Source organism: Homo sapiens, chromosome 3, assembly GCF_000001405.40.
Source record: "Homo sapiens chromosome 3, GRCh38.p14 Primary Assembly".
Taxonomy (NCBI): Eukaryota; Metazoa; Chordata; class Mammalia; order Primates; family Hominidae; genus Homo; species Homo sapiens.
In genome coordinates this window covers 129,278,542-129,306,471 of record NC_000003.12, presented here as the reverse complement: position 1 = coordinate 129,306,471, position 27,930 = coordinate 129,278,542, and the positions used below count along the sequence as shown (strand labels likewise).

Sequence of the window (27,930 nt, the reverse complement as noted above, 5' to 3'; positions counted from 1 at the left end):
AGAGACAGGGTTTCACCATGTTGGCCAGGCTGGTCCTGAACTCCTGGCCTCAGGTGATCCACCTGCCTTGGCCTCCCAAAGTGCTAGGATTACAGGAGTGAGCCACCTCGCCCGGCCAGGATTTGCTTCTAACATCACGTTTATATGAAAGTATAAAAACTTGAATGAAAAGGAAACAAGCCCCTGCAGGCATTATATTCTTTCATGTTAAAATGAAAAGACCTCACCAAACTAATTTGCAACCATGAGAAACAGTGGGGAGATGATAATGAAAAACAAAGGGAATTTCATTTTTGTCATTTATTAACCTGGAAGCAAATATGACAAAACAGTCATACTAGTAAGTCATCTGAATTTTTTAAATCTCTTAATAAAACAACCAAATCCCACGCAAATCAGTCCACAAGGGAGGCCCCCGCCTCCACAGTGCAGGGTGACTGAGTGTACAACTACGGGCCAACCCCCGCCTCTCAACCGGAAGGGAGGGCACTCAAAAGAGGAATTTAGAGAAAAGGCGGAGAGGGCGGACCTCGGGAAAGGGTCTGGGCGGGAGCCCCACCTGGCTCCCCACCCCTCCCGAAACCAGGGGAAAAGCCTGTGGCGTGGCGCTGCTGTCTCCCATTAGCAGTTACAGGGCCGAGGCTTCCCGCTGATTGGTGGAAATTCCGATCTTCTGATCCCTGATTTGCATAGAGACTGGGGCCTGCACCCCCGCCCCCCACCAGCAGCAATCGGCCAACGCCAACGGTGCTGCGCCAGGAGCGTTCTGGGCTCGGCGCCGCCCAGTCCTCCTGGTCATCTCGGAAGCTGTTTTCTTCCAGCTGCTTGGGACAGCTTTTGTGAATGCCTCCCTTAGGGATGTTCGAAAGAGGAGTGGCCCGACACTGCTAGAAACTGGTCCTTTCCTTCCCACCTGTGGTAAGGATAGTTTCTGCTACGGCAAGCACTCAAACTCAGGCTGGTTTGAAGCTAAAGGATTCAGACGACTTCCAAGTATCAAGAATGAAAGAAAAAGAAACATAATAAGGAGCCCACCACCAAGACTTGTAGTTATTTCCTCAGAAAGCCCCCATGCCCCATTTGTGACAAAATCCATTCCTGAAGACTGATTCTAGAAGAAACCAAGTAAGATCTAGAACTTTCCCCACCAGCATCACTTTCCAAAATGTAGGCAGAAGTTTACCAAATACAATTTATTCAGGAAAAAAATAAATTTTAAGAACTTATTTTTATTTTATTTTAGAACTTAAAAATAAATTTTTAAGAACTAAAAAAGTGAAAGAGCCCAGTGGCTGAGCAGAAAACAGCTTACTACAAGGAGTACCAGATCAGGGCAGAGACTTCCCAGCTGGGTAAGGCATGCTTTGAGGGAAGACTCCACCAGCCCTGCCAGGAAAGGGCAGCAGGCGCAGTGCCCCTATGGGGCCCACATGGCTGGTAACAGCAGCAGGACACCTCTTCCAAAGCTGTCCACCAGCCCCACTAGGGGCTCCTACTCATGGCAAAAAAGACTACATGAGCCCACAACTGTCAACTAACACAGTGCCACCTCCTCCCAAAGCAAACACATATACATACAATGTTAAGAACCTATTATCAGAACAGCAGTGCAGCAGACCCTGGCCTTGGTCTCTGAAAGTCCTGTGTCACTGGCTGTAAGGACGCTTGGCCACAGGTTCCTCCTCCTTCTCCCGCTTCAGCCATTGCTCTAGGAGTCCTGCAGTGCCTCTCTTGGTGGGGAGTGGACTCTTCTGCAGGAACTGACTGGACCACTGGGGAACATCTGACTCTTCCTTTTGAGGTGTTTTTGAGTCTTCCTTTTTGGGTGACTTTGTGGCCAACCACTGCAACATCCTCTGGCTACTGCCACTTGCCCTGAGCTCCTACAAGAAAGAGGAAAAAGCTCAAACCATACAGCTCAAGCTTTTGGGAAAAGGCCAAGTCCAAGGGAAGAAACAGGGGAAGAGGCATTAGGTACTTACCCAGGCTTGGAAAATGTTACTAAGGGCCAGCTGGGGCCCACCAGTCAAGAGTGGAAAGAGAGGAGTGTGCTCTAAGGGGCAGGAAAGTAGATCTTAGAGAAGGTTTCACAGAGGATTGTGTGGGACCAGCCAGAGAAGAGAGCTGAAAGGCATTCCAAATGTGCAGAGAATGAAGCATTCTCAGGGAAAAGAATGTAATTCAGCATGACCCAGGGGGAGTGTTGGAAAACGAGACTGGAGAGATACAGAAGAATTTCTAACAGCCACTGTGATAAGGCTAAATTGTTTCCTCTTTGTGCAGACAATCTGTACAACCTCTTCTTGACTGTCACTACTCCCTTCTGCTTCCTTTACATCACACCCCAATCCTGAACTGAAAGGTTCTGAATTAGCACAATGCCACCTCTCCAGAATGTGACATCTTTTGGAGTAAACACCATGGCAGGGCTAGGTACAGTGGTGCATGCCTGTAATCCCAGCACTTTGGGAGGCTGAGGTGGGAAGATCGCTTGAGCCCAGGAGTTTGAGACCAGCCTAGGAAACATAGGAAGACCCCATCTCTATAAAAAATTTAAAAAAATGAGCCAGGCATGGTGGTGTACGCTTGTAGTCCCAGCTACCTGGGAGGCTGAGGTGGGAGGATCATTTGAGCCCAGGAGTTCGAGGCTGCAGTGAACTATGATCATGCCACTGCAGTCTAACCTGGGCAACAGAGCATGACCCTGTCTCTAAAAAAGAAAAAGGAAAAAAAAAAAGACCATGGCAGAAATGGGCAGCGTCTAGTCCAAAATGAATACAGGTTGAGCATCCTAACCCTGAAAATCCAAGATCCAAAATGCTCCAAAATCCTAAACTTTTTAAGTGCTTACATGACTTTGAAAGGAAATGCTTGTTGGTACATTTCAGATTTAGGATATTCGGCTAGGAAGTATATAATGCAAATATTCCAAAATTTGAAAAAATTCAAAATCTAAAACACTTCTGTTCCCAAGCATTTTGGATAGGGATATTCAACCTGTATATAGAATTAGTTTTAGAGTTATCTAATTTTTAAAAAGTGCCACGGTTGCAGGAGTTTATCAGAATCAAAACAAAAGAAAAAAAGATGACACTGTGGGTATGGAAAAAACTTTAAGAAAAATAGAGAGGGGGACAGCTGTTCTTACAATCATCCTTAACACGGCATTCTAAAATGTCTATTCTTGGAACATTCCAAGTATGTCCTATTTTAAGTCCCTCCATGCCACCTAAAAACAATCACTACTCCTAAATCCTTACCCCCAAATGTCAGTGGGGGCCAGCTTTTTGCTCTGGAACTTCTCTCCCCACTGCAGGCCTTCTGTTTGTTTGCCTTCCCTTCCTAAAATACACCCTCTGGATCCTTGCTGATTCTAAGAAGTTAAGGTTCATGGTAGGAATGCTCTCAAATCCTCCTGAAGGAGACTAAGGACTGGAGCTCCTGCAACTTGTAGTTCGGAAAGCAAAGATACAGAAAAGAGACACCAAAAATCATGGTTGGGGACGGAGAAACAATATGGTCAAGGGCTCCTTTGTCTTTTTCACCATCACTGTCTAGATTAGGAGTCCTCAAATGTGGTTTATCAGACTCATCAAAGAAGCTTTTTTTTTTTTCCTTTTTGTGGAGAACGGGGTCTCACTATATTGCCCAGGCAGGTCTGGAACTCCTCAGGTAAAGCTACCCTCCCACCTCTGCCTTCTAAGTGCTGGCATTACAGGCATGAGCCACTGCACCCAGCTGAAGCTTCTTTTTTTTGAAACGCAGTCTCGCCCTGTCACCAAGCTGGAGTGCAGTGGCCCAATCTAGGCTCACTGCAACCTCCACCTCCCAGGTTCAAGTGATTCTCCTGCCTCAGCCTCCCAAGTAGCTGGGATCACTACTTGGGACGGGCCACCACACCCAGCTAATTTTTGTATTTTTAGTAGAGACGGGGTTTCACCATATTGGCCAGGATGGTCTCGATCTGTTGACCTCGTGATCCACTTGCCTCGGCCTCCCAAAGTGCTGGGATTACAGGCGTGAGCCACTGCGCCCAGCCTGAAGCTTCTTAATTATACAAAAGTCCAAGCCTAGCTCTAAATGTTGATTCAGGATGTCTAGATAGGGTCTAGCATTTACATTTTGAAAGAGTTCTTCTCCTGGGGACTCTGAGTCACAGCCAGGTTTGAGAATTGCTGCTCTACACTACCTTGCTGTGTACAAGGAGTATGAGAGCTTTTGATGGTCCAAATTAAAGGGCTGATCATAAAAGGCCACATCCTGAAAGAAAGAGAACACTGACAGAAGACAGAAAGCTCAAAAAGGACTGTACCAGTCACAGGCCCCTACCTTTTTGACCACCAAGTCGACAGGAGCCAGACACTCAGGAGTGTTGTTTCGCGAGTTGTTCACCACAGAAGAGACTGCATGGAAGGTGATGTTCTCTGTTGGGTGGATTAATTTCAGAGCTTCCTGAGTTGAGACTTCACCAAAGTCAAGCCATTTAGAAACTGCCTCCTCTCCATCTAATATGGCAGGCATCCTGGCCAGGGAAGTTAAGACAATGGTTGGGAGAGGTAGCATGAGAATAAGGAGAGAAGGGAGAGAGACTTGAGTCAGCTGATACCTCAAATATCACAAGGGGAGCTTGCCCTCCCTCTGCGCCTCACATGCTGATTGCTGCCATGTGTTCCCTGAGCACAGGGTGACAGGGCACCAGATTCAACACCTGGAGAGCCATGTTATAAAGTTTCATGGCAAAGACAGTGAAGAGTACTAACTGGTCTAGTGTACTCCAGTGTCCACTCTAGTAAATTGGTAAACTTTCTATGACACCCCAGCCTAGAATGAAGGGAAAATAGATCTTGAAAACTTGTCTATCAACAGCAATCTCAAGCCTCACCACCTCTGAAAGACTTACAGTAAGAAAATTGTGAACAAAAGGAAGCCATGCGTCAGAAAAGCAGAGAAGCTGTCAAACATGACTCCTGGTACCCAGAGGATGTAAGGAAAATATACTAGGTTTAGCTTCCAGTTTTATGTCCCAGGCCAATGCAGTGTGGCACACACTTTTTGGGTGGTACAGTTGATTCAGATACAGACAAATGTTCATTTGTCTCCTAAATATATACATAACATATAAAATAATGTTAAATACTGTAATGTATAAAATAATGGTACATTTTTAAATGAATGGTGATTTAGATTAAATGAAATATAATTTTTAAAGGTTAATTACTAAAAGAGAACTACATCACATGAAAGCATATTTTTTTTTTTTTCTTCTTTTTTTTTTTTTTTGAGACAGAGTCTTGCTGTGTTGCCCAGGCTGGAGTGCAGTGGCGTGATCTCCACTCACTGCAAGCTCCACCCCCCGGGTTCATGCCATTCTTCTGCCTCAGCCTCCTGAGTAGCTGGGACTACAGGCACCCACCACCATGCCCGGCTAATTTTTTTTTTTTGAGATGGAGTCTCACTGTGTTGCCCAGGCTGGAGTTCAATGGCATGATCTCGGCTCATTGCAAGCTCCACCTCCCGGGTTCACGCCATTCTCCTGCCTCAGCCTCCCAAGTAGCTGGGACTACAGGCAGCCGCCACCACGTCTGGCTAATTTTTTGTATTTTTTAGTAGAGACAGAGTTTCACCGTGTTAGCCAGGATGGTCTCGATCTCCTGACCTCATGATCCACCCGCCTCAGCCTCCCAAAGTGCTGGGATTACAGGTGTGAGCCACCGCGCCTGGCCATTTTTTTGTATTTTTAGTAGAGATGGGGTTTCACAGTGTTCGCCAGGATGGTCTTGATCTCCTGAACTCGTGATCCACCCACCTCGGCGTCCCAAAGTGCTGGGATTACAGGTGTGAGCCACTGCGCCTGGCCACATGAAAGCATATTTTCACAGATATAGCCTAGGACAAGGCTAAAGCAGGTAATCCTGACAGGTGTCACACTGCATTCTTTTCAGGAGAACTCCAAAAAATCACTTCAGGGAGTACTCAGCTCTGGCAGAAAGTATAAAGGTAGAATACAAGTATAGTCAGTTCTGCCAATGCTTATGTTTAAAATGCAAATCTGTTCCAATGCCACTGATACAGTAGAGAGCAATTGGAGCACAATGCAAATTTTGTGTTTGCTTATGCACAGTTTCATCTGTGAGAAACACAAGGTGAACACAGAAAACTGCACCCAGATGAACTGAGCCACAAAATGCACCCATCTCAAACACTGACTGCTACTTTGGCTCACTGCATACTATTTTACAAAATTGTGTTTTGCTCTTCTTTTGCCTTTCTGAACTTTTCTATATATATATATATATATATATATAAAGATGCACATTTAACATCTCAAACATGTCTAAGCTTCCTGGCTCAAAACATGGTAGGCAATGCATGTGAATGGAGACATTTTAAATATTGAAAAGAAGCTTGAAATAGTAAAAGATCCTGGAAGAAAAATGAGAACATGTGATTATTTCCTGAGCAAAGGATATCAAGGAGTCCACATCAGTGATGATGCTACAAAAAAAAAATGACCATGGCTGGAACAACTTCAAGAAGTACTCCAGCCAGGCGCGGTGGCTCACACCTGTAATCCCAGCACTTTGGGAGGCCGAGGCAGGTGGATCACAAGGTCAGGAGATCTAGACCATCCTGGGTAACATGGCGAAACCCTGTTAGCCAGGCGTGGCGGCGTGTGCCTGTAGTCCCAGCTACTCGGGAGGCTGAGGCAGGAGAATGGTGTGAACCCAGGAGGCAGAGCTTGCAGTGAGCCGAGATCGCACCACTGCACTCCAGCCTGGGCGACAGAGTGAGACTCTGTCTCAAAAAAAAAAAAAAAAAAAAAGAAGCACCTATAAGGTTCATACAAAAAATATATAAATAAGGCCTATATATAAATAAAATCTTAAATACCACAAGTGGCTCCTTTTAGTGCTAGTAGTGGTTAGTTTACTGGTTTCGAACATGGCGACAATTTTCAAAGCTTTCTGCTATTGGGAGAAGCCACAAGTACAGATGAAAATGCGCTAAAGAATTTCTAGCAGTGATACAGAAGTTAATTGGAGGAGAAGGCTATACATTGAATCAAATATTCAATTTTAATTAAATAGCATCTATTACAAATGCATGCCTCAAAGGAAATACGTTCATAGGAGGAAAACTGTGCCCCAGGATTTAAGACTGCAAAAGATAAAAAATTTTACATAACCTTCCTTCCACAACTTCACAATAACTCATGAGATGCATTTCTTCCAACACTCACTTCCACAAGCAACAAGCAAACTTCAGGTCTTGTCGAGGTAAAGTGCCATATTTATTGTAGTATGTATGTATGTATGTATTTATTGAGATGGAATCTCACTCTGTCACCCAGGCTGGGGTGCAGTGGCACGATCTTGGCTCACTGCAAGCTCCACCTCCCGGGGTCACACCATTCTCTTGCCTCAGCCTCCCATGTAGCTGGGACTACAGGAGCCCGCCACCATGCCCGGCTAATTTAGTTGTTGTATTTTTAGTAGAGACGGGGTTTCACCGTGTTAGCCAGGATGGTCTCGATCTCCTGACCTCGTGATCCACCCACCTCAGCATCCCAAAGTGCTGGGATTACAGGCGTGAGCCACCGTGCTCAGCCTGTAGTATTTATTTATTTCTTAACCACCTAACATGTATAAAACAGTGCTACTGTTTTATTAGGTTTCCATTATTTTTTTAATGTGTCACTGACAACATTTTAAGTGTTGTCTCCTTAACCCCACTTTTCCCCTAAGTTATTTGGTTTTTATTCTATCGTTTTGCATAGTACAGTGATTTTTAGGAATGTATGTCATGTTAGAGTCAAACTGATTGTAACTTTACGTTGTAAAATGACTTGGTTTCCTACTCTCTAAAGCTACCTAAAAGCAGAGGACAAATCATCTTTTGGATCCTTTTGGATCCAGGGCTAAGAAGTATGACTTGCCTGTGGTGGATGTCACTCAAGCCTTTGCAGGAATCCACTGTGATGATGGTATAGGAATACAGGACATCTCCTCCCTCTGGGGGCTCCCAGCAGTCAAAGATCCCGGCCATTGTCAGCAGCCTCCAGTTGTCCCAGACTTTCTCCCAGTTCTCAGGACTATCTGCAGCACCAATGCTACCTGACTGGAAGCAAAATATATGGGCAGATTAGATGCACTCAGCAGACTTCTTCTACATGCAGGTTAGGTACTACTTCAGACTCGAGAGCACGGAAATCATTTTAAAAGTAATTCAGCCCACGTCTTATTAACCCCTCTGTCACCAAAGGAAAGAAGGTTGGTGGCAAATGCCAACTGAAGCTATAGATTCATGGCTCCTTAATACTTTCAGAATTTAACACCTTCACTGGACATTTAGGCCTTCCGTGAACTGGCCCACCATTCTAGCTATTACTTACATTGTTAATTTGAACCCAAACCAGCTGTTGGTAAATGAAGCTCTCATGCAATTTCATGCTCCTGTGTCTTGCTGAAGCAACCTTCCTCTGCCCAAAATGTCCTTCCCACCCTTTCTTAATTGAATTGAATTTCATGCCAATTCCTAATTGCCATTCAAAATTCAATTCAAGGACTAAAATGTAGAAAGCTGGAAAGAACGTCACTTCTATTCTAACAATAAGAAAAAAGCTGGATAATATGCAAAATTATAACTTTTCTTAAACTCATCAGAGAGGTAAGTCGATCAATTTCCCTGAAATTTAAGAAAAGACAAGGTCCTCCAAGGGGCAATGGGACACAAGTACTGGCTTATTGGCAGCATCAGGAGGGAGACACAAGCCTTCATACAACCAGGTTAAGAATTCAGATAATGTTATTATCACATTTCTACAAGCAGCGTACAGGCTAGCAGGATAGTACAGAATCCCTAGGAGCTGCAAACCTCAGAGGAGTTTGCACCAGCTCACAGGCTTTTCTCCTTGGACTTTGCCAGTGCTCGAAAAAGACGGCACAGGGCAGGAGCCTGGAGGAAGCCATCCTCACTGTTGAATACCTTAAAGGCAAGCTCCTCTGCCTCACCTAATCACTTTTCCCCTAAGGAGCAAAAGTCTTAAGCTGCCAGGGAAACGGTAATAATAATAATCCCTGTCACGCCTAGGAATCAGGTAAAGACCCACAGAGGCTGGGGAAGGAGAAAAAGAAAAAGCCCCCTACGCCCTGGGGAAGACTGAGTCAGAGAGCCACATCTGCTTAAGATAGACTGAACGGAGAACTGCCTCCACCCGTTTAGCCGACAAACATTAAGTGACAAGCAGAAGCAGTCTACTTCTGGAAGAGGGAAAAGGGCACAAGAAAGACCATGTCTAAGGCACAGGCTCACAGGAAAATCCAACAACTGAAGAGAGGAGGGCTGCTGAGAAACCCTCTGGAAAGTCAATCCTTACCCTAAACACTGGATAACACCAGAGCACTTGAAAGCCTGTGTCAAACAAAGGCACTGTAGCCTGGTCGTGGTGGCTCATGCCTGTCATCCCAGCACTTTGGGAGGCCGAGGCAGGCGGATCACGAGGTCAGGAGATCGAGACCATCCTGGCTAACACGGTGAAACCCCGTCTCTACTAAAAATACAAAAAATTAGCTGGGCCTGGTGACGGGCGCCTGTAGTCCCAGCTACTCGGGAGGCTGAGGCGGAGCTTGCAGTGAGCCGAGATCGCACCACTGCACTCCAGCCTGGGCAACAGAGGGAGACTCTGTCTCAAAAACAAAAACAAAAACAAAACAAAGGCACTGTAATGAGAACAAAGCCCAAACCCAGTTCAATTCCTGACAAGACTGACTTAACCCCATATATTAATGGCCTAATAGAAGAATTTCCAGACATAAATATTATTAATCTCAGTCTCTGTCCTACATATCATCTCTGGCAACAATAAAAAATTACAAGACACACAAAAAAAGCTAAAGCAATCAACCACCAAGAGATATAGAAATTAACAGAACCAGATTCAAGAGATTATATTTCCCAGATGCTGAAATTATCAGAGAACTTGAAGTAAGTAAAATTAATGTCAAAGACTCTTGTGGAAAATGTGGACAACATATATGAACAGATAAGGAACGTTAGCAGAGAGACAGAAACTATAAGAAAGACTCAGTGAACTTAAAGATAGGTCAATAATGGCCAGGCGCAGAGGCTCATGCCTGTAATCCCAATACTCTGGGAGGCCAAGGCAGGCAGATCACTTGAGGTCAGGCGTTCAAGACCCACCTGGCCAACCTTATCAAACCCCGTCTCTACTAAAAATACAAAAAAAATTAGCTGGGCATGGTGGTGCATGCCTGTAATCCCAGCTATTTGGGAGGCTGAGGCAGAATTGTTTGAACCTGGGAAGTAGGGGTTGCAGTGAGCCAAGATTGCACCACTGTACTCCAGCTTGGGTGACAGAGCGAGACTTCATCTCAAAAAAAGAAAAAAAACGGTCAGTGAAAAGTATCTAAACTGAAACAGAGAAGAAAAAAAGAAAGAAAAATGGAGAGAATATCCAAGAACGATGGTACAATTAAATCATCTAACACATGTGTCATTAGAATCCCAGAAAGAGAAAATGGGGCAGAAGAAATATTTGAAGAGGAAAAAGCCAAGAAATTTCCATAAATTATGAAAGATATCAAACTGCAGATCCAAGCAGCAAAGAGAATAGGCTAAAACACATACACACAATGTATTCAAACAGCTGCCCTAAGAGAAAATCTTAAAAGCAGGGGTGGAGGGAGGTGGAGGGGAAGGTGGTGAGAGCAGCACACATTTATGCATTACATACAAAAGAAAAAAGACAGTTATACACTAGACTTCTCAAAAAAACTATGAGAGCCAGAGACAATGAAGTGTATTTTTTTAAAGTACTGAAAGAAAACAAAACACCACTGACCCAGAATCTTATATACGGTGAAAAATACCAGACAGTGGTTGCCAGGGGTTAAAGACAGGGAGGTATGGAAAGTGACTACTAATGGGTGTGGTTTTATTTGGGGTTGATAACAGCATTCTGGAATTAGTGATGATGGCTGCACAACATTTTGTGGGGTTTTTTTTGTTTTTTTTTTTGATAGAGTCTCACTGTGTCACCTAGGCTGGAGTGTAGTGGTGTGATCTCGGCTCACTGCAACTTCGACCTCCTAAGCTCAAGTGATCTTCCCACGTCAGACTCCCAAGTAGCTGGGACCACAGGCACGAGCCACCATGCATGGTTAATTTTAGAGCCACTGTGCCTGGCCAAGGTTTTGAATATACTAAAAACCACTGTACATTTTAAAAGGGTGAATTTTATTATATGTGAATTATATATCAATAAAAAGCATGAATTTTTTTTTTTTTTTTTTTGAGATGGAGTCTCACTCTGTCGCCCAGGCTGGAGTGCAGTGGCGCCATCTCGGTTCACTGCAAGCTCTGCCTCCTGGGTTCATGCCATTCTCCTGCCTCAGCCTCCCAAGTAGCTGGGACTACAGGTGCCCGCCACCACGCCCGGCTAATTTTTTGTGTGTTTTTAGTAGAGATGGGGTTTCACCGTGTTAGCCAAGATGGTCTCGATTTCCTGACCTGGTGATCCGCCCACCTCGGCCTCCCGAAGTGCTGGGATTACAGGCATGAGCCACTGTGCCCGGCCCTGATGATTTTTTAAAATAAAGAAATAGATACTTTTTCAGACAAAAAAAAAATCAGAATTTATTACCAGCAGACCCACACTACAAGAAAAATTAAAGTCCTTCAGGCAGAAGGGCTGTAATACCAGAGAGAAAACTGGATCTATACAAATAAGTGAAGATCCATGGAAATGGCTAAAATGAAGGTACGTGTACAAAGACTTTTCTTATTTTTTACCACTCTAAAACATAATTGACCATCTACAGTAAAATAGCAATGTATTGTAAGTTTATAGTATATGTAAAAATAAAATGCATAACAGTAGCCCAAAAGACAGGAGGAACTGGGAGAATACTGTTGTAAGGTATTTTCAATAGTAATGTAGTGTATAAAGACAGAATGTTATTAACTTAAAATGTATGCTGTAAGCTGTAGGGCAACTACTAAAAACATTTATTTATTTATTATTTTTTTTGAGACGGAGTCTCACTCTGTTGCCCAGGCTGGAGCACAGTGGCGCAATCTTGGCTCACTGCAAGCTCCGCCTCCCGGGTTCATACCATTCTCCTGCCTCAGCCTCCCAAGTAGCTGGGACTACAGGCACCCACCACTGCACCAGGCTAATTTTTTTTTTGTATTTTTAGTAGAGACAGGGTTTCTCTACTGTTAGCCACGATGGTCTTGATCTCCTGACCTCATGATCCGCCCGCCTTAGCCTCCCAAAGTGCTGGGATTAGAGTTGTAAGCCACTGCGCCCGGCCTAAAGACATTTTTTGAGAGGCAAAAATAATAAGCCAATAATAGAGATGAAATGCAATTATAAAAGATTATTCCCAAAACAGAAAGATCAGGAGAAAAGGAACAAAGAGTTGATGGAACAAATAGAAAACTAGCAAAACAATGGATTTTAACCCAATCACATCAATAATTACATTAAATTAAATGTTCTAAACACAAATTAAAAGAATGATTGTCAGACTGAATCAAAAAGGAAAATCCAACTATCTGTAGTGTAAAAATTAAGTTCAAGTCCAGGCGCAGTAGCTCATGCCTGTAATCCCAGCACTTAGGGGGTGCTGAGGCAGGCGGATCACCTGAGGTCAGGAGTTAGAGACCAGCCTGGCTAACATGGTGAAACCCTGTCTCTACTAAAAATACAAAAATTAGCCAGACATGGTGGCACGCACCTGTAATCCCGGCTATTCAGGCGGCCGAGGCAGAATTGCTTGAACCCAGGAGGTGGAGGTTGCAGTGAGCTAAGACCACACCATTGCACTCCATCCTGGGCAACAAGAGTGAAACTCTGTCTCAAAAAAAAAAAAAAAAAAAAAAAAAAGAATTAATGTATATTAAGCTAATACACATTAAGTTCCTAGAAAGAGTAACTGACTAGTAGTAAGTGCTTAATATTTGCTATTATAATTGATAGATGTTTTATAAATTAATCTTGTCTTGTACCAAATCATTTGTGTGTTACTAGACTGGCTAGACTGGGAATTTTCTTTTTTAATTTATGTTTTATTTCAATAGGTTTCTGGGGAACAGGTGGTGTCTGGTTACATGAATAAATTCTTTAGTGGTGATTTCTGAGATTTTGGTGCACCCATCACTGATAGGGAATTATCTGAGGGTGAGGCAAACTCTCTTGACTACTGAAACTGCCCCAAAGAGTTAAAAAACAAACAAACAAACAAAAACACCAATGACTAAATTCTTGGGCTTACAGGATAGCACATAAGAAAATAACTTGCTGAAACAGTGAAACTCCCTCCGCTTGTAAGATAACAAAACTGGCTGAATTGGTTGGAACCAATAACTGACTAGAGTATATGCAAAACAAGCTTGCTTATATCACAGCCTGAATTTCCACCACATTTCACACTAACTCCCCCTGAATTTGCACATGAGACCTATATGGAGGCAGGAAGAGATAACTGCACATACCTGAAGACTTTCCAGGCCTCCCCTTTCCTTCCACCAATCACCTACTAATCCCAGAATCCACTCCCTAAACATTTTTTTAATAAAAGTACTCCTTAAAGCCAGCTAGGGAGACAGAGTTGAGCTGGACTCCTGTCTTCTTGTTAGTCGACTTGAAATAAAAAACTTTTCTCGGCCAGGCGCAGTGGCTCACGCCTGTAATCCCAGCACTTTGGGAGGCCGAGGCGGGTGGATCACAAGGTCAGGAGATTGAGACCATTCTGGCTAACACCGCGTCTCTACTAAAAATACAAAAAATTAGCCGGGCCTGGTGGCACACGCCTGTAGTCCCAGCTACTTGGGAGGCTGAGGCAGGAGAATCGCTTGAACCCGAGAGGCAGAGGCTGCAGTGAGCCGAGATCACGCCACTGCACTCCAGCCTGGGCAACAGAGAGAGACTCTGTCTCAAAAAAAAAAAAAGAAGAAAAAAAAAAACTTTTCTCTGTTACCCAGGCTGGAGTGCAGTGGTGCAATCTCGGCTCACTGCACCCTCCACTCCCCACCCCAGGCTCAAGCTATCATTCCACCTCAGCCTGCCAAGTAGCTGGGACCAGCTACTCAGTATCATGGTATTGGCTTCTAGCACATTGGGTAGCAAGTCCCTTTTACTCGGTAACACTATTTCCAGTCCCCAAAATGAGATGACAGGTGAACAAACAATTCCCAATTTTAACAAGCAAACTGCTAAGAACTCAGGTGCTTTAGCAGTGTCAGACTAAATAATCTAATTAAAAATAAAACATGATGTTGGCATGTCAGATTTGTTTTCAATCTCCTGATAATGTTTTAACATGAACAGTTCAAATTATGTCTTACAGTGAAAGGGTTTTTGTTTCATTTTTGAGATGGGGTCTCACTCTGTCACTCAGGCTGGAGTACAGTAGCACGACCTCAGCTCACTGCAACCTCCACCTCCTGGGCTCAAGTCATCTTCCCACCTCAGCCTCCCAAGTAGCTGGGACCACGCCCAGCTAATTTTTTGTATTTTTGGTAGAGATGGGTTTTCGCCATGTTGCCCAGATTGGTCTTGAACTCCTGAGCTCAAGTAATCCACCTGCTCTGGCCTCCCAAAGTGCTGGGATTACAGGCATGAGCAACCGTGCCTGGCCTGAACCACTGCGCCCAGCCACAGTGAAAGTTTTATGAAGGAAATGTTAAACGTAGAGTTGTAATATGACCTAGCAATTCCACTCCTAGGCATCTATCCAAGAGAGATGAAAACAAATCCATGCAAAACTTGTACATGAATGTTCATAGCAGCATTATTCATAATAACCAAGAAGTGGAAACAATCCAAGTGTCTATCAACTGATGAATGAATTAACAAAATGTGGTCTGTTCTTACAAAAAGGAATGAAGTGCTGATCCATGCCAAACATGGATGAATCTTGAAAACATTATGCTAAATCAAAGAAGCCAGTCACAAAAGACCACATATTCTATGATTCTGTTTTTATGAAATGTCCAAAATAGGCAAATCCAGAGATGGAAAGTAGATTCGTGTTTGACAGGGGCTGGGCATAGTGGAGAATAAAGAGTGATTGCTAATGGATATGTAGTTTCCTTCTAGAGTGATAAAAATATTCTAAAAATAGAGGTAATAATTGCATACTTTGAACATACTAAAACATTCCTGAATTGCACATTTTAAAAAGGTGAATTTTAAGGTGAATTATCTCTCAATGAGCTCATTTCATTTCATTTCACTTTATTTTATTTTATTTTGACAGAGTCTTGCTCTGTCGCCCAGTGCAGTGGTGTGATCATAGCTCATTGCAGCCTCTATCTCGTGGGTTCAAGTGATCCTCCCACCTCAGCCTTCCGAGTAGCTGGGACTACAGGCACACACCACCATGCCCAGCTAGTTTTGTATTGTTTGTAGAGACGGGGTTTCACCATGTTGCCCAGGCTGGTCTCAAACTCCTAGGCTCAAGCAATCTTCCCGTCTTGGGCTCCCAAAGTGCTGGGATCACAGGCGTGAGCCACCGCACTGGGCCAAAGCTGTTATTTTAAAATAAATAAATAAAACTATGGGGAAGAAAAAAATGTCCTTTGGATTAATTTGTTTCCCTGTGCCTTTCCAAATATATATTGTGAATGCTGATAATGATACCTTCTCTGTCTTGATTTGAGGAAAATAGATGAAGTATGGCTGCCTCTGGTTTGTTCCCTGACATCGCTGCCACTCATAGAATCCATCTGCTAAAACGACACAGCGTCTTCCCTTTCCCAGAGGCACCTGAGGGAAAATGTGAGCAAGATATGGTCTTAGTGATACAATCATGTTTCACAGGCTGCCATTACTTGGAGAACTTGAATTAAAATCTGAGGTTTGGGCCAGGCGGGTGGCTCACGGCTGTAATCCCAACACTTTGGGCGGCCGAGATGGGAGGATCACTTGAGGTCAGGAGTTCGAGACCAGCCTGGCTAACAAGGTGAAAGCCCATCTCTACTAAAAATATAAAAATCAGCTGGGCGTGGTAGTGCACACCTGTAGTCCCTGCTACCTGGGAGGCTAAAGCACGAGAATCACTTGAACTTGGAGGCAGAGGTGGCAGTGAGCCAAGATCATGCCACTGCACTCCAGCCTGGGCAAAAGTATGAGACTCCATCTCAAAATAAATAAACAAACAAATAAATACATAAAATCTGAGGTCTGCCAATGTATGACCTTAAAACAGTTATTTAATTTCTCTGTACCTCTCTTTTCTTTTTTTTTTTTTTTTTGAGACGGAGTCTTGCTCTGTCGCCCAGGCTGGAGTGCAGTGGCGTGATCTCGGCTCACTGCAAGCTCCACCTCCTGGGTTTACTTAAGCCATTCTCCTGCCTCAGCTTCCCGAGTAGCTGGGACTACAGGCGTCCGCCACCACGCCCGGCTAATTTTTTGTATTTTTAGTAGAGACGGGGTTTCACCGTGTTAGCCAGGATGGTCTCGATCTCCTGACCTCGTGATCCGCCCATCTTGGCCTCCCAAAGTGCTGGGATTATAGGTGTGAGCCACCGTGCCCGGCCACTCTCTTTTCTTATGTATAAAGAAAGTCACAACTCACATAGATGTTGAAAAGATTAAATAATGTACATAAAAGCAATCACCTCTTTTCTAACAAATAGGTACTTGTCATAGCTAGTCTTCAAAGGTGCCTCCCCAATGAAGCATGCTTCCCAGTATTCACACCCTATGTAGACACCTCCCACACTGAATTTGGGCTGGCTCTGTGTAACCCATAGAATGCAACAGAAGTAGGCCGGGCGTGATAGCTCACACCTGTAATCCCAGTACTTTGGGAGGCCCAGACAGGTGGATCACTTGAGCCCAGGAGTTTGAGACCAGCCTGGGCAACATAGCCAGACCTTGTCTCTATTTAAAAAAAAAAATTAAACAATAACAATAAAAGAATACAGCATAAGTAATGCTGTATGACTGCCAAGATTAAGTGATGCTGTAAGACAAAGGCTTATATCTTCTGTCCTGCTCTGTTGGATCATGAGCTCTGGGGTAAATGAGTCACCGTAACAGAAGCCTGGCTACCCTGACACCCTCGAGCTAGGCATATGGAAAGCCTTCTAGTTGTTCTAGTCATCCCAGCTGAAGGGTCAGATGTGGGTGAAGAAGTCATCTTGGACATCCAGCCTCAGCTGCCATCTAACTGCAACATGAGAACTTCCAAGTGAAAACTGCCCAGATGAGCCCAGTCAACCCAGAGAATATGAGAGATAATGTTTATCATTTTGTTTCACACTACTAAGTCTGGTGTGGTTTGTTATGTAGTAACAAAATAGCATTCCACATTAACAACTGGGAACATTCTTTTTTGTGTTATTTATTTATTTTTGGTTGTCCTCTGTAGGCTAGGATGGAAACACCCTTTGGAACCTTATTTCTGAGGTATACGGGGCACTAATAGCTACCAGCCACCTACCTTAAATGACCGTTTCTCCATTACGGTATCACTACGACAGTTGGTAGTATTGAACTGCAGCTTGGAAGGATCACTTTCTTTGAACCAAGAAGGGACCAAGCCCCAGCGCATGGGAGCAATGATACGCTCAGATGAGTCTGCATCCTGCCACGGAGAGAAGATCTAGTGAGGAGATCATAATGAAATTCTAACCTAATTTAACATATGTATTTATTACATTATTTAGGAGTATTGAAATATAAAGAATTCAAGATTATTTTTAAACAGGGAATCTACTTGAAAACAATTTTTTTATTTTTTTTGAGATAAGGTCTGGCTCTGTCATCCAGGCTGGAGTGCAGTGGCGCTATTTTGGCTCAATGCCACCTCTACCTCCTGGCTCAAGCCATCCTCCCACCTCAGCCTCCCAAGTAGCTGGGACTATAGACACACGCCCCCCCATACCCAGCTAATTTTTGTATTGTTTATAGAGATGGGGTTTCGCTATGTTGCCCAGGCTGGTCTTGAACTCCTGGGCTCAAGTGATTTGCCCACCTTAGCCTCCCAAAGTGTTGGGATTGTGGGTGTGAGCCACCACAACCAGCCAAAAACAATTTAATGACTTATCATGATGTAGGTAACTTGAGTTCTTTAGCAATCATATTTACTAGAATGTAAGACATTCTGCTTGAATAAGGTAGAGGGATGCAAAGAGGTTTAGTTTCTTTAAACTTTTTTGTTTTTTAGAGACAGTTTCGCTCTGTTGCCCAGGCTGGAGTGCAGTGGCACAATCATAGCTCACTGCAACGTTGAATTCCTGGGCTCAGGTGATCCTCCTGCTTCAGCCTCCCAAGTAGCTGGGACTACAGGTGCACACCATCATGTCCAGCTAATTTTGTAGAGATGAGGTTTTACTATGTTCCTCAGGCAGGTCTCGAATTTTTTTATTTTTATTTTTTTTTGAGACGGAGTCTCGCTCTGTTGCCCAAGCTGGAGTGCAGTGGCACGATCTTGGCTCATTGCAACCTCTGCCTCCTGGGTTTAAGCGATTCTCCTACCTCAGCCTCCCGAGTAGCCGGGACTACAGGCTTCCACCACCACGCCAGCTAATTTTTGTATTTTTACTAAAGACGGGGTTTCACCATTCTGGCCAGGCTGGTGTTGAACTCCTGACCTTGTGATCCACCCGCCTCAGCCTCCCAAAGTGCTGTGATTACAGGCATGAGCCCCTGTGCCTGGCCTGGTCTCGAACTCTTAGGCTCAAGTGATTTTCCTGCCTCGGTCTCTCAAAGCACTGGAGGATGCTATTTTTAGGAAAACCTATATACAAGGTTGGCCCTCAACAACTCAGAACTAGATTTTGAGAGTATTCCCACTTTTCCCCAACTCATAAGGGTGGTTTATTCCGCCTAGTCTGTGTAAACAATAAAGTTTATGCCAACACCTGTTTTCCTTCTGGGAGTCTGAAATTTTGGTACCTGCTAGGTATCTGGTAGAGTGCCTACATGATCAGCCTCCAATAAAAACCTCGGACCCTGAGTCTCTAATGGGTTTCTCTGGGCATAAACGTTGTACATACTAACCTGGGCAACATGGCAAACTCCAGTTTCTACCAAAAAAAAAAAAAATTATTCTGGTGTGGTGGCATGCACCTGTAGTTCCAGCTACTTAGAAGGCAGAGGTAGGAGGACCACTTGAGCCTGGGAAGTTGAGGCTGCTAGTGAGCTGTGACTGAGCCACTGCACTCCAACCTGGACCACGGAGCAGGACCTTCTCTCAAAAAAAACAAAACAAAACAAAACAAAAAAACCCCACAAAAAAAAACAAAAACACTGTACATATACATTACTACATTTTTCGTTGCTGGAGAAAGTAACATGCTTGCAGTATCCTCCCACAGGAAGGAAAACATAAGGAAACCTGTGCATGACTTTTTCCAGATTTCTACTAGTGTCTTTTTCCTTTGCTGATTCTATTCTGCGTCCTTTTACTAATAAACCTTAGACACACTATGCCTTATATGCTTAGCCCTTCTAATGAATCTCTAAATATGGGGGCAGTCTTGGGGACTCCCAACGCATGGTTGTCAAACTTTTTTTAAGTAATGGGCCCCTTGATAATTTGATGAAATCTACAGATTAAGCAGCACATACACATTATTCTGCATGGCACAGTACACTCTGGGTTGGGAGAGACCAGTGAGCAGAGAGTGCATTTTGGGGTGTTACTACAATGGTTCAGGGGTCTGGTGATGGCAGTGAGAAAAACAGTGACATCCAAAAGATTTAAAAAAAAATAAAAAGAAATTGTAGTACAAATGGATTTGGATGAAAAAAAGCAAGGATGATTAAGTTTTCAAGCCCAGAAGAGTGAAATAATGATGGTACTACTGAACAGAGAAGAAAAAATGCTGATGAAATGTTTTATGAAGATCATATGTTGAATTTCTGATACTAGTGAGAAGTCTGTGGCAGTTTTCAAAAAATGGTTGCAAAATCTGACACTCCTCCCATTGAGAATTGGGAATCTATGTTCGTTCCCCTTGAATCTGGACGGGCTTGTAACCAACAGAATGTGGCATGAGTGATACTATATGATTTATCTCATAGTTCTGAAAGCTGGGATTAAGGTGCCAGCAGATTTGGTGTCTGGTGAGGGCCCACTTTCTGGTTCACAGATGGTGCCTTCTCACTATGTTGTCACATGGTATCTCTGGGGTGTCTTTTATAAGGACACTAATCCCAGTCATGAGGGCTTTGATTCCCAAAGGTCCTATCTCCTAATACCATCATCTTGGGGGTTAGGATTTCAACATATGCATTTTTCAAGGACACAAACATTCAAACCATAGCAGCTGTGGTCTAATAAGACTTTATACAAACAGGCAGTAGGCCAGATTTGGTCTGAGGACCGTAGTTTGCCAATCCCTGGTATAGAGGAAAGATCAAGGTCTTTGTAAGGAGATCCTGGTTCAAAAATCCTTTCTCTGAGCCAGGCATGGTGGCTCACGCCTGTAATCCCAGCACTTTGGGAGGCTGAGGCGAGCGGATCACCTCAGGTCAGGAGTTTGAGACCAGCCTGGCCAACGTGGCAAAACCCCATCTTTCCTAAAAATACAAAAATTAGCTGGGTGTGGTGGCGTGTGCCTGTAACCCCAGTTACTCGGGAGGCTGAGGCATGAGAATTGCTTGAGCTCGGGAGGTGCAGGTTGCATTGAACTGAGATTGTGCCACTGCACTCTATGACTCTGATGGAAAAAAAAAAAAATCCTGGGCCGGGCGCGGTGGCTCATGCCTGTAATCCTAGCACTTTGGGAGGCAGGTGGCTCATGAGGTCAGGAGATCGAGACCATCCTGGCTAACACGGTGAAACCCCGTCTCTACTAAAAATACAAAAAAAATTAGCCGGGCGTGGTGGCGAGTGCCTGTAGTCCCAGCTACTCAGAAGGCTGAGGCAGGAGAATGGCGTGAACCCGGGAGGAAGAGCTTGCAGTGAGCCGAGTTTGTGCCACTGCACTGCAGCCTGGGCAACAGAGCAAGACTCCATCTCAAAAAAAAAAAAAATCCTTTCTCTGCTACTTATGAGGTTGGACTAGTCTCAACTTCTTGGGCCTTCAACTTTCCTTATCCAAAAATTAGAACAAACAATAATTACCCTGTGGGATAATTTTCAAGAATGAAAGATAATATAGTTAAAATGTGTGGCATGGAGTAGGCACTCAAATTGTAGTATAGTATTTTTCTAAGGTAAGGATTAAAAACAAATCATAAAATTGTCTATAAAAAGATGACTATTAATGCCATGAAGGTAAAGTTTCTTAGAGAGTATATCATGTACAGGATTTAACCTGAGGGTACAAAAAATTTTGTTAAAAGAAGAAATTAGGGTAAAAGCAGAGTTCCAAGTAGAAGTACCTACTAAGATAAAAGTAGAACGAAGAAAGTCAGGAGAGAATGGAATCTGAAGAAAGGAATCATCAGTAGTCGCAGTCTCAGGAGAAGGGCTTCCTTTTGTTTAAAAGCTAATCCCTCCATAGTGCTGCTGATAAAATCCAGTCCTGCTTCTTCCAGAATCCTGCCTGCTGTATCCATTAATTCTCTTTTTCTTGAGATGGAGTCTCGCTCTGTTGCCCAGGCTGGAGTGCAGTGGCACGATCTCAGCTCAATGCAACCTCTGCCTCCCAGGTTCAAGCGATTCTCCTGCCTCCGCCTCCCAAGTAGCTGGGATTATAGGCATGTGCCACTACGCCCAGCTAATTTTGTATTTTTAGTAGAGACAGGGTTTCACTATGTTGGTTACGCTGGTCTCGAACTCCTGACCTCAAGTGATCCGCCTGCCTCAGCCTCCCAGCCTCCCAAAGTGCTGGGACTACAGGTGTGAGCCACTGCGCCCGGCCAATTCTCTTTTCATATATATACACACAAACAGTTGATTCCCTTTATTTGCAGTAGTTAGATTTCATAAAGTTGCTTTGAGTACTGAACTGCTGCTCTTAGGGAAATGCAAGGTTATGTTTCTAACAGCATCTGGTGACGACACTTTCATCAACTGATCAATATATGACCTTGTTTTATGTGTGTTTCTGTTTAAAGACATCTAATTTAAACTTACTCTTAATTCATTTACACTAAATTCAAGACCAAGAGCACTATAACTCATGCCTGACTAAAGCTTATCCAATGTATATATCTTCTTTTTAAGACATATCACAGCCTTCTTTAGCTTGGGAATACCAGCCAGCACTTTAGTGCTATGCTTGGGATCATTTTAAACAGTGAAATCACACATGGCACTAAACTGGCTGCAAAAAAGATACTTGTTTATAACGTAAGAGATGAAACAAGAAGGCAGAGCTCTGCCTCGATCAACCTCAGCTGGAAACATCAAGGTACTCAAATTTGTCAGCTCTCTGTATGTGCACCAATGATTGCAAAAGCAAAGTGAGTATGAATTTAGGGGTTACAAATAAATTTTAGTGAGTAGGTGAATTTGGAAATATGGAATCTAAGAATAATGAGGACTGTTTGTGTGTGTTTGTGAGAAAGAACAGTTGAAAACAGAGATTTCATAAATCCTCTTTCTCTTCCAGAATCAAATTTGCCTTCTGGCAGCTCAAGCCTATAATCCTGGCACTCTGGTAGGCCAAGTGGGGAGGATCCCTTGAGCTCAAGGTTGATTTTTCTTTTTTGAGACAGAGTTTCGCTCTTGTTGCCCAGGCTGGAGTGCAATGGCGCGATCTTGGCTCACTGCAACCTCCGCCTCCCACGTTCAAGCGATTCTCCTGCCTCAGCCTCCCAGGTAGCTGGGATTACAGGCATGCACCACCACACCCGACTAATTTTGTATTTTTAGTAGAGACAGGGTTTCACCATGTTGGTCAGGCTGGTCTACAACTCCCGACTGCAAGCGATCCACCTGCCTCAGCCTCCCAAAGTAATGAGATTACAGGTGTGAGCCTCTGCACCTGGCCTGAGCTCAAGAGTCTTGAGACCAGTTTGAGCAACACAGTGAGAACTTCCCCCTCAAAATGTCAAAAGGAAAAGCCTGTGATCCCAGCTGCTGGGGAGGTTGAGGCAGCAGGATCGCTTGAGCCTGGGAGGTCAAGGTTGTAGTGAGCCATGATTGCGCCACTGCACTCCAGCCTGGGCAACACAGCAAGTCCCTGTCTCCAAAAAAAAAAAAAAGTCTTCCAAGCAGAAGGACCCCCAGCTCAGTGCATAAATGAGAATGAGACAACATTACGCAATGGTCAACTAAATGATCTTTCATCAGAAATTTGCAAGACAACAATACTGAAAAAATCTGTGGTTCTCAGTACGGGACAATTCTGACACACCCCTCCCCACCATCCAGAGACTTCTGGCAGTATCTGGAGATACCTTTGGTTGCTCTGATCTGGGGGATGCTATTGTGGAGGATGCTACTGACATCTAGCTGGTAGAGGATGTTGCTAAACGCTCTACAACGCCCAGAATAGCTCCCTATGACAAAAAATTATCCTGGCCAAAACTGTCAACAGTGTCAAGGTTGAGAATTCTGCTCTCACAAATTCCACTGATCAGCGCTGAGAGTGTACCCTTGACAACTGTAAACCAAATCCAAATGTGAGAATGACGAATAGAAAGTAGTTGAAAAGCCAAAATACTAAGACCATTGCTCAATATTAGTCATCTTTCCTCTACCCTTTTGGACTTCTGAACAGAACACCTGGTAGCACTGGGGTGGATAAATGAAACAGGAAGTAATTTGCAAATCTGTGGTTTCAAATGAAAATGTTGCTATCTATATACATATGCAGGCTGTTAATGATTTGAATGAACTGCTAAAATGGTTCTAATTTTGCTTTATAATTTATAGGTCTGAGAAAAATGAGATATCAAATATTATCAAAATTAAGAAACCATAGCAATCTTAATAAAACTTGTTAGAGATGTGAAATCAAATACTATATCAGCAAATTCATACCACTGGCCCAAATGAGGGCTGTATTTGCTAGTGGCTCCACCTTCCCCATTCCTGGTTCCAGGATGCATCCACTGGAGTGGGGACGGTGGTCTGGATCTCAGTTCTAGTTCTGTCCCTCACTGATTAGGTAACCTAGGACAAGTCATAATCTATGTATACTTCTATCTTTACATCTGTTAGACAAATTTTTCTTCCAGCTAACTTTCTATAATTCTAAGGAGGTCATATAAATGACTAAGGCTTTTTTTTTTTTTTTTTGTTAAAAACAGGGTCTCATTTGCTCAGGCTGGTGTCCTGAAATCCTGGCCTGAAGCAATTCTCTGGCCTCAGCCTCCCCCAAAGTGCTAGAATTACAGGCGTGAGCCACCAGGCCTGGCCAGGCTCATACACTTAATCCTGCTCTCTATTCTCACTCTAAGTTATGCTTTCCTTTGAAATATGTTTTATGCTCTCTTTTCCCCTTCAAGGTTCTCCAGAATATTTTATTTTGATTCCCCTCTCATTTAAAACAAAAAGTTTCAATAGGGAAGTATGCATCCTCTAAAAATGACACAAAAATAACTATGTCATATAAATGGCTTCATTCAACCAAGAACATTATTTGATTTTTTTTTTTTTTTTTTTTTTGAGACTGAGTCTTGCTCTGTCACCCAGGCTGGAGTGCAGTGGCACATTCTCGACTCACTGCAACCTCCACATTTTTTTTTTTTATAGTACAGACAGAGTTTCATCATGTTGGCCAGACTGATCTCAAACTCGTGACCTCAAGAGATCCCACTGCCCCGCCTCAGCCTCCCAAAGTGCTGAGATTACAGGCGTGAGCCACCGTGCCCAGCCATTATTTGTTATCTTTATTTCTTTTTGAGATGGAGTCTCACTCTGTTGCCCAGGCCAGAGTACAGTGGCACAATCTTGGCTCACCCCAACCTTCGCCTCCCGGGTTCAAGCGATTCTCCTGCCTCAGCCTCCCAAGTAGCTGAGATTACAGGCGCCCGCCATCACACCCAGCTAATTTTTGTATTTGCAGTAGAGACGGGGTTTCACCATGTTGGCCAGGCTGGTCTCGAACTCCTGACCTCAGGTGGTCCAGCCGTCTTGGCCTCCCAAAGTGCTAGGATTACAGGTGTGAGCCACCATGCCCAGCCTGTTATCTTTATTTCAAAATGATGTGATTCCCTATAATGCAGAAATGAGTCCTTTTTGACTATCATATTATCACAAAAGTTTAAAGAGTATGTACCAGAGGTATAATCAACTTTATAAAGTGATTTCAGCATTATGAATCAAATACAGTCAAAATTCAGGAAGGAAACAATCACAATTTTTTTTTTTTGAGATGGAGTCTCGCTCTGCCGCCAGGCTGGAGTGCAGTGGTGCAATCTCAGCTCACTGCAACCTCCACCTCCCAGGTTCAAGTGATTCTCCTGCCTCAGCCTCCCAAGTAACTGGGACTACAGGTGCGTGCCACCATACTCAGCTAATTTTTGTATTTTTAGTAGAGATAGGGTTTCACCATGTTGGCCAGGATGGTCTCGATCTCTTGACCTCGTGATCCGCCCGCCTCCACCTCCCAAAGTGCTAGGATTACAGGCGTGGGCCACCGTGCCCAGCCAACAATCACGATTTTTAAAAACATGTCAAGGTCATTTAAAATATTTAAGACATGGAGAAACTATTACTTTCTAGAACGAAGCATTTTTATTACACACACATACAAAGACACACACACTTTCAGGAGATAAGGCAAAAAACTAAAATATGAATGTAAGTGACTGGTAATTCCAACACTACAGGGATAAATACTATAAACACAATGAATGCAATTAAACTTCAGATAACCAAACCAAATACGTGTTTCTAGCCTTAGTAAAAGACAAACACAAAAAGATTGAAAACACAAGCAGAAAGAATAAAACTTTTCAATGCTCAAGAAACATCAGAAGTGTTTTAAATTAACTGATCTTAAGCCTGTCCTAGGCCTAGAGAAGTCTGATTAAGCTGGCCTGGTAAAGGGCATAGAAATATTCTTAAATTTTTTATTTTTTTAAATTTTTTCTTTAGGCAGGGTCTTGATCTGTCACCCAGGTGGGAGTGCAGTGGTACAACCATGGCTCATGAAGCCTCGACCTCCCCAGCTCAAGTGATCTTCCCACCTCATTTTTTTATTTTTTGTAGAGATGGGGTCTCCCTATGTTGCCCAGGCTGGTCTCCAACTCCTAGGCTCAAGTGATCCTCCCACCTCGGCTTCCCAAAGTGCTGGGGTTACAGGCATGAGCCATGGCACCTGGCCTTAAATTTTTTTATTATATTTTTAAGATACTCCAATGACCCTGATGATCAGTGAAAGCTGCTATTTTAAAACACAAAGCTCATATAAATTTGGCATATATTAAGGCTAGTATGCCATGTATAGCAAAGGCATTTAAATTGAGCCTGAAAAATACGTCTTTATCAGTGTTAGAAGCCACTGATAAAACTTCTTTCATGAGGCCAAGAGAGGTTCTCAACTGGAAGTCAGAATATATCAGTAAAGGCTGGTTTTTAATGTCATCCCAAGAGGCTGAGCACACACCAAACCAAATAGGAGATGACCATCACGAGGCTGGGCGAGGGGCTAGCATAGTGCAATGCTGGTTACCTTCTCAAAGTGCAGTCGAGACAGAAGCACTGGGCTGTTGGATTGAGGACTCTTGTTGTAAGAGGGGCAGTACTTATCAGGGTCCCTCCACTCCGGGAGCCGCTGCTGGCCCCGCCGATCCTGGTAGGCGCAAGCTCTCGTGAGAACATCTCTAGGTAAGTGACAGGATGTTCGCCCACACATTCTTCAACACCGCCCCTCGCAACCTTTAAATTACAAAACGTAAGGAAAAGGCTTACGTATCTCAAATATTAGGTCTTATTCCTTGAGTCCCCGCCTTCTCTTTCCGTTCCCACAGGGCCGTGCCCCTCCGTGACCACCGTCTAAAGTCTTCCCCAAAAAGTCCCACAAAGACAAGGATGTGCCCGTTTGCTTCGCTCCCTGAGCCCACTGCCCAGCTCCGTGCAGGGCACTGAGGCAAGTCCCGAGAGGAGCTCTGCAAATGCCTGCCTGAGCGCAGGAAGAGCCGCAGCGGAGGGGGCTTCACAGTCCAGCGAAGCAGGGCAAGCGCAGCTAGCTGGGGTCGCCTCCTCCGGGTGACTTGGTGCCCCCAACTCCCCGTCCTTCCCCCCAGTCCCCGCTGGGGTCAGCGACCCACGCCGGCCAGCAACCGGTCACCTCGAGGGCGGCCACTGGACGGCCCGGGGCCGGGGTGCAGAATCCCCGCCTCCCGCCCGCTAGTCCGCAGCGTCCCCGGGCCCGACCTGCGAACCTGTGGGCCGCGGATCCCGCTCCGGACTCTGCTCCCCGGAGCGGGGGCCGGTGCTCGGGGAGCAGGTGGCCCCCAGCCACCGGCCGCGATCCCTCGCCCCTCCCCGCGTCGCCTCCGCTCCGCTCCGGCCCTCAGACTCCGCCGCCCCGCGTCGCCTCACTTCGGCCCAGGCCGCCCTCTCCGCGTCGCCTCGCGTCCGCTCGGGCCTCTGCTCCCCTCTGTCAGCTCGCGTCGCTTCCTTTCCCCTCCCCTCCCCTCGCCATACCCCGACCGCCCGCGTCGCCTCCCCTCCCCTCACCTCGCCCCGGCAGCGCGCGTCACCTCCCTCGACTCTCCTCACCCCCGCTCCGCTCCGCTTTGGCCACCCGCGTCACCGCCCCTCACGTCAGCCCCGCCTCAGCCCGCGCTCCCGGCGCCAGGCCCCGCCCCCAAGGGCCCTTGGTTCCCGCGGTGCCCTCGGGCCCCGGAGGCGGCGTCTTCTCCCCTCCGGTTTGGGATGAATTTTCTCCCGTTTCCCCAGGAGACAGTGACTGCCTTGGGAGACATATCGATCCCAAGCTTCTCGGGACTCCACTTTCCTCCATATTGGCCGTTCCCTGGCGGGGTTAACCTTCCTCCCCGCCCCCAGCGTGTTTCAGGGCTGGCAGGGAAGGTTCCCGCCG

At 44.8% G+C, this 27,930-nt stretch overlaps 1 protein-coding gene across 6 annotated transcripts, besides 5 other annotated features; it reads right to left on the bottom strand.

Moving 5' to 3' along the window:
• HMCES (5-hydroxymethylcytosine binding, ES cell specific) lies at nucleotides 286–27,640 on the bottom strand. 6 transcript variants are annotated; one of them, NM_020187.3, is made up of 7 exons: nucleotides 27,567–27,602; nucleotides 26,557–26,762; nucleotides 17,475–17,618; nucleotides 15,668–15,793; nucleotides 7,937–8,118; nucleotides 4,330–4,522; nucleotides 286–1,883 (listed from the first exon to the last, which is right to left on the bottom strand). In NM_020187.3, the coding sequence occupies exons 2-7, from the start codon at nucleotides 26,737–26,739 to the stop codon at nucleotides 1,647–1,649; spliced, it is 1,065 nt and encodes a 354-aa protein (NP_064572.2). In that variant the 5' UTR covers nucleotides 26,740–26,762; nucleotides 27,567–27,602; the 3' UTR covers nucleotides 286–1,646. The 6 variants fall into 6 exon arrangements, with proteins under 6 accessions (NP_064572.2, NP_001357272.1, NP_001357273.1 ...); NM_001370343.1 differs by lacking the exon at nucleotides 27,567–27,602 and adding an exon at nucleotides 27,269–27,478; NM_001370344.1 differs by lacking the exon at nucleotides 27,567–27,602 and adding an exon at nucleotides 27,429–27,478.
• Nucleotides 330–914: an enhancer, noted in NCBI's record as "OCT4-NANOG hESC enhancer chr3:129024401-129024985 (GRCh37/hg19 assembly coordinates)". NCBI's record gives its function as "activates a minimal SCP1, AML or CMV promoter by ChIP-STARR-seq in primed H9 embryonic stem cells {active_cell/tissue: H9 hESC(primed)}" and the evidence as "EXISTENCE:reporter gene assay evidence [ECO:0000049][PMID:30033119]".
• Nucleotides 350–850: a transcriptional cis regulatory region, noted in NCBI's record as "intergenic|chr3:129024465-129024965 region (GRCh37/hg19 assembly coordinates) targeted for CRISPR interference". NCBI's record gives its function as "positively regulates H1.10 gene expression in K562 cells {active_cell/tissue: K562}" and the evidence as "EXISTENCE:mutant phenotype evidence [ECO:0000015][PMID:31784727]".
• Nucleotides 26,448–26,577: an enhancer, noted in NCBI's record as "active region_20508". NCBI's record gives its function as "activates an Ori minimal core promoter by ATAC-STARR-seq in GM12878 lymphoblastoid cells {active_cell/tissue: GM12878}" and the evidence as "EXISTENCE:reporter gene assay evidence [ECO:0000049][PMID:35858748]".
• Nucleotides 26,998–27,387: a silencer, noted in NCBI's record as "silent region_14720". NCBI's record gives its function as "represses an Ori minimal core promoter by ATAC-STARR-seq in GM12878 lymphoblastoid cells {active_cell/tissue: GM12878}" and the evidence as "EXISTENCE:reporter gene assay evidence [ECO:0000049][PMID:35858748]".
• Nucleotides 27,398–27,747: a silencer, noted in NCBI's record as "silent region_14719". NCBI's record gives its function as "represses an Ori minimal core promoter by ATAC-STARR-seq in GM12878 lymphoblastoid cells {active_cell/tissue: GM12878}" and the evidence as "EXISTENCE:reporter gene assay evidence [ECO:0000049][PMID:35858748]".